General features: G+C 38.7%; 1 protein-coding gene across 8 annotated transcripts in view, besides 2 other annotated features; it reads left to right on the top strand.

Annotated features, from left to right (window-relative positions):
• The window catches only part of FHIT (fragile histidine triad diadenosine triphosphatase), a 1,504,176-nt gene that overhangs the window by 208,488 nt on the left and 1,281,524 nt on the right, over nt 1–14,164 (top strand). For all 8 annotated transcript variants that reach the window (NR_148921.2, NR_148922.2, NM_001354589.2 and 5 more), the window contains one exon: nt 866–918. The gene's annotated coding sequence lies outside the window, so the exon portion shown is untranslated. The remainder of the gene's footprint in view (nt 1–865; nt 919–14,164) is intronic.
• Nucleotides 63–1,262: an enhancer, noted in NCBI's record as "MED14-independent group 3 enhancer chr3:61027375-61028574 (GRCh37/hg19 assembly coordinates)". NCBI's record gives its function as "activates an origin of replication core promoter dependent on BRD2, BRD4, P300/CBP and CDK7 cofactors, and independent of MED14, by STARR-seq in HCT116 cells {active_cell/tissue: HCT116}" and the evidence as "EXISTENCE:reporter gene assay evidence [ECO:0000049][PMID:35650434]".
• Nucleotides 11,647–12,846: an enhancer, noted in NCBI's record as "CDK7 strongly-dependent group 2 enhancer chr3:61015791-61016990 (GRCh37/hg19 assembly coordinates)". NCBI's record gives its function as "activates an origin of replication core promoter dependent on BRD2, BRD4, P300/CBP, MED14 and CDK7 cofactors, with strong dependence on CDK7, by STARR-seq in HCT116 cells {active_cell/tissue: HCT116}" and the evidence as "EXISTENCE:reporter gene assay evidence [ECO:0000049][PMID:35650434]".

Below are 14,164 nucleotides of genomic sequence, written 5' to 3'. Positions count from 1 at the left end.
TTTTGTATGTTTTAATTTGTTTCTGTTCTTAACCTTTTTGATGCTCAGATATTCCCTTCCTAGGCCAGTGGGAACTCCAGGTATCCTTACTTTTTAAAAAAAAGTGTTTAATTTTTTTTTTTTTTGAGTCAGATGCTCACTTTGTCACCCAGGCTGGAGTGCAGTGGCACCATCTTGGCTCACTGCAACCTCTGCCTCCTGAGTTCAAGCAATTCTCCTGCCTCAGCCTCCCAAGTAGCTGGCATTACAGGTACCCACGACCACACCTAGCTAATTTTTTGTATTTTTAGTAGAGACAGGGTTTCACCATGTTGGCCAGGCTGGTCTCGAACGGCTGACCTCGAGTGATCCGCCCACCTCAGCTTCCCAAAATGCTGGGATCACAGGTGTGAGCCACTGCACCCTGCCTGTTTAAATTTTTATTGTGTAAAATGTCAAATATATACAGAACTAGAGAGAATATGTGATCAATTCTCATATACCCATATTCTGTTTTAAAAATAATCAGCTCATGGCCAGTTTTGTTTCTTTTATACCCCAACTTACCTCCGAGGTTCCATACTGCTTATGATTTCATCTTTGAACACTTTAAGTTTCAATCCTGTTGTCCTTTAACTTCCATCTTACTGCCCTACAAGATGTCCCAGGTAGGTTATATGCTTTTAACCATTTAATTTACTTCATTAATTAACCAGGGTGATACTAGCTGCTTTAGCATTATAGACTCCAAAATGTAATAATGGCTTAAACTAAATGGAAGTTTTTTTTCATTTACGTAAGAGTCTGGTATCAGTGCTTCTGCAAAAGAGTTTTCTTCCTGGGATATTTCATATGTCTCCCATCTTGTGTTTCTGCCTTTCCCTAGGTCCGTAGTGCTATCTACATCCAGACGGTGGAAGGGAGAGAAAGAGAAAGAAGGTAAAACCATTTCTTAAAATACTTAACAGAATTGGCACATATGCCACTGGCTAAAGTCACCTGGCCACACAAGCGGGTCTGTTCAAAAATAATAAATATTTAGAAGGAGAGATATATGAATTTTTGGTAAACAGCCTTCAGTTCTCACATTATACTGCACTATACTTTCAAGAACTACACAAAGATTTTGAAATTCTCACTTTTTTCATTATTATCATAATTACTTTTGTTATATCTTTAAGGTATTGTTCTGGTTCATAACATGCATTTTATTAGCTCAAAAGAATTACTGCTTTCCAAGTAAGGGCATTGAGGGAATCAGTGATGTATAAGCCTTGAGTTGAGCGGATTTTTTTTTTTTTTGCTTTATTTTTTAAATTGTGGAATCATACCTGTCTATAAATTATAGATGGGCATTTCTATCTTCGTAAGGAGGAAAGGGTAGATATCAGCAATTGTGAGTTTGTCAGATTTCTGAAAAAGTAGGAATTATATCAGTAAAAAGAAGGGCTGATTAATATCCATGATCACACATAGGTAGAAGGTCAAATAGTGTTGCTAATTGATAGATAAATCAAGAGACCCAAGAGGAATGATGACTCGCACAGACTTGATCTCCATTTCTTAGGAGGTGCGGATTCTCGGTAGTCTTGTAAATTTTTTTTTTTTTTTAGATGGAGCCAGGCTCTGTCACCAGGCTGCAGTGCAGTGGCGTGATCTCAGCTCACCGCAACTTCTGCCTCCCAGGTTCAAGTGATTGTCCTGCCTCAGCCTCCTGAGTAGCTGGGACTAGAGGCGTGCCACCACACCTAGCTAATTTTTGTATTTTTAGTAGAGGCAGGGTTTCCGCATGTTGGCCAGGATGGGGTCGATCTCTTGACCTCGTGATCTGCCTGCCTCAGCCTCCTAAAGTGCTGGGATTACAGGTGTGAGCCACCGTGCCCAGCCAGTCTTGAAAATTTTAATATGAGGTTATTAAACCTTGTTTTAGTAAGTTCTAAACTGAGTTGAGACATCCAGTGTCCAAGATGCATACCAGGGCAGAGAGGGGATGTCCTAGGGGAGGAAGGGGAGGCAGGGAAAATGGCTGCCAAGGATAAGAAGCCCCATCTCTGCTATATTGCTGATTTATGGACATGCTCCCTCCCTGAGGGGTTACCAGTCAGGCCTGGGCCCTCAGCTGGTTATGGGCTCTCTGAAGAGGCAAAGAGTTTCCATCGGGGGAATAAGGTATAAGTGGCTCTTATTGTGTTGTTGCCATATGATTTGAAGGATAACTGAATAGGGATGGGATGTCTGAAAGTGTTCTTCTGCTAGCATATACCCATGCTTCATGTGCAAATGTTTAATAGAAGCAACAGATACCACACACATCTCCACTACCCTTGGGCCGTGTGTAGTCTGCTTCATTCTGTGTAGATCCCTTCATCAAGTTAAAGATTAACGATTAGAAAACTCTGTGTTGCCTCAATTCAAACATGCCAAAATATTAACATTAGAGTATTTTAAAAAACAGTGACAATATTCAGATTGATGTGCTATTTAACAAATTAGATAGTCTAGCTTATAAAAATTCATCTTTCTTTAAGGGATTTAATAAAACCATTATCATTCTGGATAGACAAATAAATTGGTGGCCTATCACCTTATCCATTTTTCCTAAATTGCTCTTTGTGCAAAATAAGGTTTGCACTGATCATGCTGATCCTCAATAGTACTTTCAATCCAATGTTTAAAAAACAAAATAAGGCGGAGGAATTCTCTGGGTCTGTGAAACTTGATTTAGGTAACAGGCTATAGTAGATGCTGGTATGTGTTTATTGTGATTCAGCAAATGTTTTAGGTCATATACAATAATCTAACTTTTACATTTGCTTTCTTTTGAGAAGGTTTTATTCCAAAGAAGCTTAATTTGGACATTTAAAGGGGAGAGTAAGGTTTCGTTAAACCCCTTTGAGGTTTGCAAATGCCCTTTCTCATTCAAGAAAAACCACAGTATTATTCACCATGATTGAGACCCACAAGGACTTATTTCATTCTGATGCTCTTTCTTTGCTACTGTAAGTGATGTCACTTGAATTACAAAGAGGAGTCTGGCTTTCAGAAGAATCTTCAAGTTAGTAATAATATTCTGTTCTAAGTGCTGTTGTGGCCCACAGTTGATATCCCTTACAAGTTTTTTTGTTTGTTTGTTTTTTTATACTTTAAGTTCCAGGATATGTGTGCAGAATGTGCAGGTTTGTTACATAGGTATACATGTGCCATGGTGGGTGCTACACCCATCAACCCGTCATCTGCATTAGGTATTTCTCCTAATGCTAACCCCCGCAGACTCCTACCCCTCAAATAGGCCCCGGTATGTGATGTTCCCCTCCCTGTGTCCATGTGTTCTCATTGTTCAACTCCCACTTATGAGAGAGAACATGTGGTGTTTGGTTTTCTGTTCTTGTGTTAGTTTGCTGAGAATGATGGTTTCCAGCTTCATCCATGTCCCTGCAAAGGACATGAAGTCATCCTTTTTTATGGCTGTGTAGTATTCTATGGTGTATATGTGCCACATTTTCTTTATCCAGTCTGTCATTGATGGAAATCCCTCGCAAGTTTTAAAGAATATAGGGCACAAGGGAGCAAAATACAATCAGAAATATTGGTAAGAATTGTAAGACTTTCTGTATATAAGTAGATCTCCCAGTAAGGATTTCACGATGTCTAAAGTAACCTTTCTGTAAAATGTTGTTGTAGTAATCTCTATAAAACGTTCATGTTTCTTACTAGATACAAGGGTAGTCTTTGTCAAAATGGTAGTGCTGGTGGTAGCAACAGTAGTAGGAGCTAACCTGAGCATTTGCTGTGTGTCAGGCACCACATTGAGTGTCTTTCATGATTACATCAGTATCTTGGAAATTGCGGCCAATTGTAGCCTTCCTGATTTTTGCTATTTCCTCATATAATCTTTACTTTATATATATATATTTTTAAGTGATCCCCTTTAAATTATTATGGAAGTTTTCCAAATATGCACCAAGTAGAGTGAATAGTGCAATTAATTTCCATATTATCTAACACATAGAGCAGGCTTCATGTGCATGCAGCCTGAGAGTTGTTCAGAGCCCATGGCTTATGAAGGCCCACATTTGGTTTAATGTGGTTATTTGGTTCTTCTGTCACTGTTTTGAAATTCTTAAGCAGTTATAAGAGACCCTGCATTTTTATTTTGCTCTGGGTCCTGCAAATTATCAAGCAGGTTGTATACCTAGATTCAATAATCATCAAGATTTTTACTACATTTTCTTCATATTGTCTTTTTCCCTCCCCTCCTTTCTTTTTCTCTTCTGAAGTATTTTAAAGCAAATTGCAGACATCACTTCACTTTACTCTGATGTATTTCAGAATGCAGCTGTAACAAATATGGGCATTTTTGTACTTAAGCACAATGCCATTATTATATCAAGCAATATAAACAGTAATTATTTGGTATTGTCTAATCCAGCTCCACATTGAAACTTCCCCAACTGACTTGAAAATGTCATTTACTGTTTTTCCTTATTTTCATATTCAAACAAATTCAAACATTATATTACATATGTTCCTTAAGTCTCTTAACCTAGAGAAATCCTGCCTCCATTCCCACTGTAGACTTGTTATAGAAGCAGGATCTTTTGTTCTGTAGGAAGTCACACATTCTGGTTTCATATGCTCTTCTTTAATGTGTTCCTTCACCACTCTTATTTTTTCTTAAGGGATGCTGTCTCTAAATTTGATTTAACGTAAATGTTTTTGGCAAGAATGCTTTGCAGAGGGTGTCTTTACTACGTTTATTAGGAAGCATCCACTATTCAGAACCTGTTTTATTGAAGCTGAGATTCATCATTGGTTTTGGCAGGTAACAGACTGACTATTCCATTTTAAAGTTCCATATTAATTTTTCATGTGATTGTTTCTTCAATTGATGATTGTTACTTAAATCAATTATGTCATTAAGTAATTGCAAAAATCATGATTTCTAATTCTGTTAATTATTTTCCATTTGTCAACTAGACTTTTTCTGTAAAGAACTTTCCCTGACTGACTAGGACTGTTTGGAGCGCACTTCTTTTCCTTGACTTAGATTTGTCCTACGCAATAATTTTAGTGTGGTGTTTTAGTCCCTTTTGTGCTGCTATAATAGAATATGTGAGACTGGGTAACTTATAATGAATAGAAATGTATTTGTCTCATGGTCCTAGAGGCTGGGACATCTAAGATCAAGGGTCTGCATTTGGCAAAGGCCTACTTGATGAGTCATCCAATGGCAGAAGGATAAAAGACATGCACACATGAGTGAGGGAAAAAGGCCTAACTCATTCGTTTTATCAGGAATCCATTCTGGTGATAACTAACCCACTTCTCTGATAACATAATTAATTCATTCATGAGGCCAGAGCCCTCGTGACCTAATTGCCCCTTGAAGGACCCACCTCTGTTGCACTGGGAATTAAGTTTCCAACACATGGACTTTGGGTGACACATTCAAACCATAGCATTTGATGTGCTAATTATATATATTTTAATATGCTGGGAATTAAACACATAATTGTTAACAGAAGAAGAAAACCACTCATGTACCATCTAATATCATCTGGTATACTCCCAGTGGTATATGTGCCAGGCTTTGGGAAACACTATTATTTTTCTTGCTTTACAGTTGAGGAAACGGAGAGAAAATAAGGTTAAGCGACACTCCCTGGGTGGATTTTAGCTAGAATCCAAGCACTCTGACACCAGAGCCAAGCATAACCACTCCAGTCTTGTAGCGCTTTTCTAAGCGGTCAAAGTTTGCATAAAAAAAGCAGACTGGGCCGGGCACGGTGGCTCACGCCTGTAATCCGAGCACTTTGGGAGACCGAGACGGATGGATCACGAGGTCAGGAGATCGAGACCATCCTGGCTAACACGGTGAAACCCTGTCTCTACTAAAAATACAAAAAATTAGCCGGGTGCAGTGGCGGGTGCCTGTAGTCCCAAGTACTCGAGAGGCTGAGGCAGTAGAGTGGCGTGAACTCGGGAGGCGGAGCTTGCAGTGAGCGGAGATAGTGCCACTGCACTCCGGCCTAGGCGAAAGAGCGAGACTCCATCTCAAAAAAACAAACAAACAAAAAAAAAAAACAAAGCAGACTGATCTTTGAGGTGAAACCACGAAGGTAATTTTTTAATGGCAAGTCAGTGAGAAAGCCCAGAACTCTCGGGTAATTGATCTGTGTTCTCACTTTCAGCTGGTGCCACCTCCATGACCAGTGTGATTTATTGTGCTCACCGGTTTAAATCAATAATCTGAGTATATTAGAGCCTAGATTGACCTAATAAACTCCTCAAACTTCCCCAACATAATGCTTTGTAGCTTCTGGATGAAATGCTTAAAACATTTTTTAATCTTTTATTATTCTTAATAATATAAAACTCATCTTTACAAGACAACAGATAGAAACCACTATTGTTTTTCAAAAGGAAAGGTCATTATAATACCAGCCTAGTCTAGTAAAAGCAGAATGCCAAGCTTTTGGGTCAAATTATTGTTCAGCCCCTTCAATGATAAGAGGAACATTTGAAGTGCCCTTGGATAGTTTCTATACTACAATCTGAACACTCGGTTAGTGATATAGTTTGGATGTTTTGTCTCCTCAAATCTCATGTTGAATGGTAATCCCCAGTGTTGGAGGTGGGGCCTGGTAGGGGGTGATTAGATCAGGGGGGGCTGATCCCTCATGAATAGCTTAGCATCAGTCCCTTGGTGCTATCCCCACAATAGTGAGTGAGTTTTGGAGATCTGGCTGTTCAAAGGTGTGTGGAACCTACCACACTCTGTTCTGCCCCTGCTTTCCCCATGTGAAGTGCCTGCTACTATTTCGCCTTCTGCCATGAGTCAAAGCTCCCTGAGGCCTCCCCAGAAGCCGAGCAGATGCCAGTGCCATGCTCGTACAGCCTCCAGAACTGTGAGCCAATTAAACCTCTTTATAAATTACCCAGTCTCAGGTAGTTCTTCATAGCAATGTAAGAATGGCCTAATCGAGTTGGGAAACTTAGATACAGCTTTAAATTTTGAGCATTGTCTCTAACCATTTCATTTGATTTGCCCTTTCACATCAGAGAAATGAAACTGAACACCTTTGAGGGATTTTATCTATTGGAATATGCATGCTAAACATTACTGAGGAGCCAGAAGAGTGAGGTGGAGGGACTAACTAGAGTAAAAGCAGGGCCTACCTTCCAAATTTACTTTTTACTGGAAAAAATGTCACATCATCACTATCTGACAATTACTTCTTCTTGGATAATATTTTAAAAGGAGATGTTATGTCATTTATGGAATTTTAAACCCTCAGGAATAATTTAGTCTAATCCTTTCAGTTTACATATGAGAAAGCTAAAGCCAAGCTAATTTAAATAATTTCTCCCGAGATTACCAGCTAATTAGATGCAGACCTAGAATTAGACCTCAGGCTCCCTGACTGACATACTAAGGTACCATATCAATTAAAGTTATGTGATTGCAAACAACAGAAACTAATTCTGACTAACTTGTGCACAAGAGGGATATATGCAAAGTAAATTTTGGGTAGTTTAACAAAATCTAGTGTCAACTGTAATGTAATTTTTTTGGAGGAGAAGTGAGGACTAGAAATAGTTAAGTAATGTAAAATGTATTTTACATTTAAAAGATCAGAATTGTGACATGTGAAATGCAAAAAATATATGATTTAAAAATTTATTAAGATAAGAGTCATATAACAAAAAATCCATTTTAAAGTGAGCAATCCAGTGGCGTTTAACTCACTGACAGTGCCGTGCAATCATCATCTCTATCCAGTTCCAAAACATTTCCATCCTTCTAAAATAAAACTCCTCATTTCAATGCAGCTTCTCCTCATTTCCCCAAACCCTTGTCAGCCACCAATCTGTATTCTATCTATGTGGATTTACCTATTCTGGATATTTTATGTAAATGGAATGATACAATATATGATCTTTTGTGTCTTGTTTCTTTCACTTGGCATGTTTTCAAGGTTCACCCAGGTTATAAGATGTATCAGAAGTTTATTCCTTTCTTAGGGCTGAATAATATTGCATTGTATGGATATATTACAATTTGCTTATCCTTTGATTCATTGATGGGTGTTGATGGACAAGTGGGCTGTTTCCACCTTTTGGCTATTGTGTATAGTGCTGCTATGAACATGTATGCACAGGTACCTGTTTTAGAACCTGTTTTCAATCCTTTTGGATATATACCTACCAGTGAGATTTCTGGGGTACATGGTAATTCCATATCTAAATTTTTGAGAAACTACAAAACTATTTTCCACAGTGGCTAAGTCACTGTATATTCCCACCAGCATTGTTGGAGAGTTCCAGTTTCTCTATATCTTTACCAACATTTGTTATTTTCCATTAAAGAAAATAATAGCCATCCTATTAGGTGTGAAGTAGCATGTCATTGTGGTTTTCATTTGCATTTCCCTAATGACTAATGATGAGCATCTTTTCAGGTGCTTGTTGGCTATTTGCATGTTTTTTCTGGAGAAATGTCTGTTAAAGTCCTCTACCCATTACCTGGTTTTTTTGTTGTTTTTGTTTGTTTGTTTTTATTGTTGTTGAGTTGTAAGAATTTCTTATACTGTATATTCTGGATACTAGACCCTTGTCAAATATATGATTTACAAATATGTTCTCTCACTCTGTAGATTGTCTTTTCATTTTTTTGATAATGTCTTTGATGTACCAAGGTTTCTAATTTTGAGGAGGTACCACTTATCTATTTTTTCTTTTGTTGCTTGTGCTTTTGGTGTCATATATAAGAATTCATTGCCAAATGTGAGGGTAATGATTTTACCCCTATGCTTTCTTCAAAGAGTTTTACAGTTTAGCACTTATATTTAGATCATTGCTCCATTTTGGGTTAATTTTTATATATGGTGTGAGGAAGGGGTCCAGCTTTATTCTTGGCATGTGTGGTTATTCAGTTGTTCCAGCACAATTTGCTGAAGAGATTATTATTTCTTCATTAAATGACTTGGTACCTTAGTTGAGCATCTATGTAGATCATGAAACTTCAGAGTGTCTCCTTTGTGGAGTTTGCTTAGAGTCTTGCTATAGTAGAAAGAATGTTGGTAGGCAGCAAATATCCACTATGCAGCCCAGCCACTGACCCATCTTTGTGTGAAATTCTGATATACACAGATTTTCTTCTGTTGAATTTTCAGCAATAGTGACCTGCAAGAATTTCAGATTTGTGTGTTTGTTAATTTAGGATAATTATTAAAAGAAAGACCTGGGGTTGGAGTATTAAAAACAGACATAAAGTGGAAGGTAGAGTAAGAACAGAGTTTTTCTATTCAACTTGTCTCCAGGGTCTGTATACATACTGGAGTCTTTCCTTCTGTGCCAGGCTGTCCAATAGAAATATACTGTGAACCACAGATGTAAGCCCCATATGTAATTTTACATTTTGTAGTAGCCACATTACAAGGAGTAAAAAGAAACAGATGAGATTAATTCTAATAATATATTTCACTTAGCCAAAAATATTAAAAATATTAGTTTTTTCCCTGTAATCAATATAAAAAATTATTGATGAGGTATTTTACAGTTTTTTTCCTACTCAGTCTTTGAGGTCTGGTGTGTATTTTACCCTTACACCATGTCTGAATTTGGATAAGGCACATTTTATGTGGCCAGTGGCTACTATATTGGACAGTAGAATTTATATCAAAAGCAGCCATAGACAATATGTAAACAAATAACTGGCTGTGTTCCAGTAAAGCTTTGTTAACAAAAATACGTGGCAGGACACAAGTGATGGTTAATTTTGTGTCAACTTGACTGGGCTAAGAGATATGCTCATTATTCCTGGGTGTGTCTGCGAGGGTGTTTCTGGAAGAGATTAGCATGTGAATCAGCAGACTAAGTAAAAGTCACCCTCATCAAGGCGACTGAGCATCACCCAATCTCTTGAGGACGTGAATAGAACAAAACGTGCAGAAATGGCAAATTCACTGTCTCTGTTTGAGCAGGTATATCCATCTTCTTCTGTCCTCAGATATCAGAGCTCCTGTATCTTGGGCCTTTGATCCAAAGGGACTTACACTATTGACTCTCCTGGTTCACAGGCCCCTGGGCTTGGGCTGGAACTATACCTCCTGCTTTCCTGGGCCTCCAGCTTGCAGATGGCAGATAGTGGGTCTTCTCAGCCTCCATAATGGCATGGGCCAATCCCTCACAATAAATCTCTTTCTGTATATCTACATTTATCCCATTGGTTCTGCTTCTCTGGAGAAGCCTGGCTAATATACTGTCTTTGGCTTGTAGGCTCTGTTCTAGGCTGTTCCTTTTAGCTCTGTTTGCAACAGAGAGGATCTTCTTTTCCCCAAAGCTGATTGTTTAGGTCTATTAGCCCCTTTGCTTACTTCCAGTATCTTAATATGTCTGGCCTCTGGGAATGTGTTTTCCCTGCTCCTTCTGGTTTTGCTGTGCCAGAAATGAGGTGGGATGAAGAATGCTTCAGTTCTTAGGGGTGACTTCTGTGGGTGGATGAGGGAAATGAAAGAAGCTCTTAGGTGCTCTGGCTTCAGGATAGAGAATATAAAACTTACTGCTTACATACACCTCTTACCCTGTGAAGATTCACCTTCTGGTAGTACACCTTATGTTCCTTATCACTCTAAAACAGTCTCTGAATCCTTCCCATCCATGAAAGACCTCTTGAGGTCTCCTAGCTCTGGAAGGTTCCTGGCTCCAAGAGGGAGCCATGAGGAGGTTAAAACTGAAACTTTAAGTTTCATGTGGACAAGTTTACTGTATGTAAAGTTCTGTATTTTTAGCAGACAGAATATTATTTACCTGTAGGAGTTCCTCAACACATATTTGTTGAATGAATGAAGGAATACACGAATGAACTATCAAAGCAGCTCCAGTTCTGGACTCCAATCACTGACGTTGGTAATAATTTGGTTGCTAAAATCTCCTCTTATGTTCTATAGCTCAAAAATGCTATGCCCAGATGCTTTAAAATGATGCCAGTTGATTCACTCACCGGCCATGAGCATCTGAGCAGTTAGTTCCCAATGACCCAACATGCCTTGATTTATTGTTCATTTGATTTAACTTACAGAAGGTGAACTTACTTTATTTTCCTGCCAGAATTCTGGCTGGATCACAGTTGGTGGTGGTCCTCAGGGAATAAATCTCAGGCGATGGCGCTCAGTCATTTTAGGGTTGCCTGTTCAGTATAACTTCCATGTGGCTGTCTTAGTGAACACAGGCCTTGAAGCTGATGATGGCATTTTGTAGACAGGCTACAGTGACCTACAGTTCATAGAACAGTAGCTGGATTACCTACAAGATAACAACATTCTCACTTGTGGGTAAAATGTGTCATTGTTTCTGGGAACTGAACTTTGAAAAATAAATAAAAATCCCTACCTTGATTCCCAAAGCTTTGACATTTAACTGGGATGTTAGAGTAGATGAATTCAATTTACATGAGTTGGGGTAAAAAAGAAAAAATTGAAACTATTTAACAGATTTTCATCTCTTTCTCTCTATAAAGTAATCAACAAATTTTCAGGTTGAGACACTCAAGCAGAGTTCCACCTTTTGGGCAATTGGGCAACTCTGATTTTGCATTCCTCAGGATTTGCTGAAAAGTTTTATAGCAAAGATGGCTACTGGTTCTGGGTGGTAACCTGTAAGACCTTGTGACTCTGCATATTCATAGAGGATTTTGAAAAAGTATCTGAATTTTACAGTGATAAATTTTAATAACTTGTTTGTGTATCATTAACAAGCTTCTCATGGTTACCAAAACTTGTAAACAAAGTCATTTTGCCACTGCAGATAGTATCTTTCTACATCTGAACATGACCTTGAATTAAAAAATAATAATAACTTTTACTTATAGTCATTTTTTGCTGAACGAGAATAACTTTTGAGATCGGGTTGAAGCATGTTACCTGTCTGCTCAAAACACTGCAAGGACCCCTTATTTCGTTTCATGTAAGTGCTCAAATCTTTGACAATGGATAAGGAAGCCCTTTCCATACCCAGGATCCATACTCCTCTGTTCTCCTACCATTTTACTTGCCTTCTCCCCTTACTCTCCTGCAGCCACATGGGACCCTTGCTGTTATGGAAACAGACCTGCCCTAGGGCTTTTGCACAGGCTTTACCCTTTGAAACTACCCCCCTGCCCCCATCCCGGGCAGCTCACGGCCTGCCTCTCCTTTAATGTAACTTTTTCATTGAAACTACCAGACCTGCCATATTTAAAATTCCTGTCTTTCCATCCTCCTGATCCCTCTAAGGCTGCTTTGTTTTTTAATTTTTGTCCTTAGCCTTGAACTGTCCGTCCAACATACCATTTAACTGAGTCACTTATGTTTATTGTATCTGCTTTCCCACCACTAGAATCTAAACTTTGTGAGTACAAAGATCTTTGTCTTCTTTGTTCAGTGATGTGTCCAATAGAAGTTTCTGTGATGATTAAAATGTATATGGCAGACATTAGCCACATGTGCTAATTGAGAACTTAAATGTGGTTAGTGCAAATAAATCCTTGAATTTTAATTTTATTTAATTTTAACTAACTGAAATGTTAATAGTCACATTTGGCTAGTGGCTACATACCATAAATGACACTGCAGATCTCGCAAACGTATTGAATGAACGAATGAATGTCTCTTTAGAGCATTGCTTCTAATACTTTAAAGGAATTACCTGGGGTTCTTGTTAAAAATGCAGATTCTGGCCAGGCATGGTGGCTCACGCCTGTAATCCCAGCAATTTGGGAGGCTGAGGTGGGTGGATGGCTTGAGGCCAGGAGTTCAAGACCAGCCTAGGCAACATGAAGAAACCCTGTCTCTACTAAAAATAGAAAAATTAGCCAGGCGTGGTGGTACATGCCTGTAGTCCCAGCTAATCGGGAGGCTGAGGTAGGAGGATCACCTGAGTCTGGGACGCAAAGGTTGCAGTTAGCTGAGATAGTACCACTGCACCCCAGCCTGGGCCACAGAGTGAGTCCCTGTCTCAAACAAACAAACAAACAAACAAAAATGTAGATTTTGATTCAGGTCTAGGGTGGAGCCCAAGAGCCTGAGGTTCTAACAAGCTCCTAGGTGATAGCTCTTTACACTTTTCATAGCAAGGCTCTGGAAGACTAATATTGCCTTGCTTTTAGTTTGTGTGTTTATTAAAATAGACCAAGCAGTTCCTCTTTTCCTGGACAAGAGGGATTACTAAGAATAACCTGTTAGACTCAAATAACAGTTGGTAGGCCCAAAAGACCACCAAAAGAAAAAAAAATTCCTTTGCTTCTGATAAGAATGTAATTCTCTTCCTACCTTTTCTCTCTAATTTGGTTGAACTCAGTTGTGGTGCATTTAGAAACTTTTTGGTAAATGCTGTTTTTTTGTATGACAGTTTGTAGCTGCCTAATATGCCTGCCTGACTTGCAGTCCATTTTTTTCAGGTCACTGAAGATGTGTCCCTCACAAAGAATTTTTAAGTGGTACTGGATGGCTTAGTTTTGCATCCTCCTATTATCTGAGCTAGCCGGCTAAATCAGATTCCCACAGTAAAAAAATCTCATCAATCTTCCATTGTTATAATCACATTGTTCATCTACAGAATAAACATCACCTAGTTATTCCCTCGGGGAGGAGTTTAAATCTTGTTCATACGCGTTAGATTGCTTCAAACCCTTGGTCGTTCTTAATTATCATGTGCTCTTTTCCAGGTGGTTTTTTGTCAGAGCAGTAAATCTTGGTACAGATCAATTTTAGGTGTTGTTAGTATTTAACAACAATTAAGGTACTGATGAATATATGTAATATTGCCTGATTTATCATTCCCTTATAGGCTCTTCAAAATATATCAGAGACACAATTTACAGTACCTGTCAGAAGAAAAAGGGTATCATCTTAAAAGCCTGATTTTGTTTCGTTTTTCTCAGAAGAGCATGAGGAATGAGTGTATATTTGAACCATTCTGGAAGAGCCTTGGTCTAGCCTCAGTCTTTATTTGCTGTAGCTGTGCCTGACCTAGACCTCCAGGAATATTCTACTACCTCAGGACTACTAAGTGGGCCCCTGTATGTAATCTCTGTTTTTTTTTTTCTTTTTTTTTTTGTTGGTGGGGGGTGCTTATTTTCTTCCTTCTGCCTGGAATCCCTCTGTCTAGTTCCTGCACCCTCCTAGTCCCCAAAGTCAGCCATTTC

This window comes from Homo sapiens, chromosome 3 (assembly GCF_000001405.40).
Source record: "Homo sapiens chromosome 3, GRCh38.p14 Primary Assembly".
Lineage (NCBI taxonomy): Eukaryota > Metazoa > Chordata > Mammalia > Primates > Hominidae > Homo > Homo sapiens.
The sequence above is the reverse complement of the archived record's forward strand: the minus strand, read 5'-3'. Positions and strand labels throughout refer to the sequence as shown.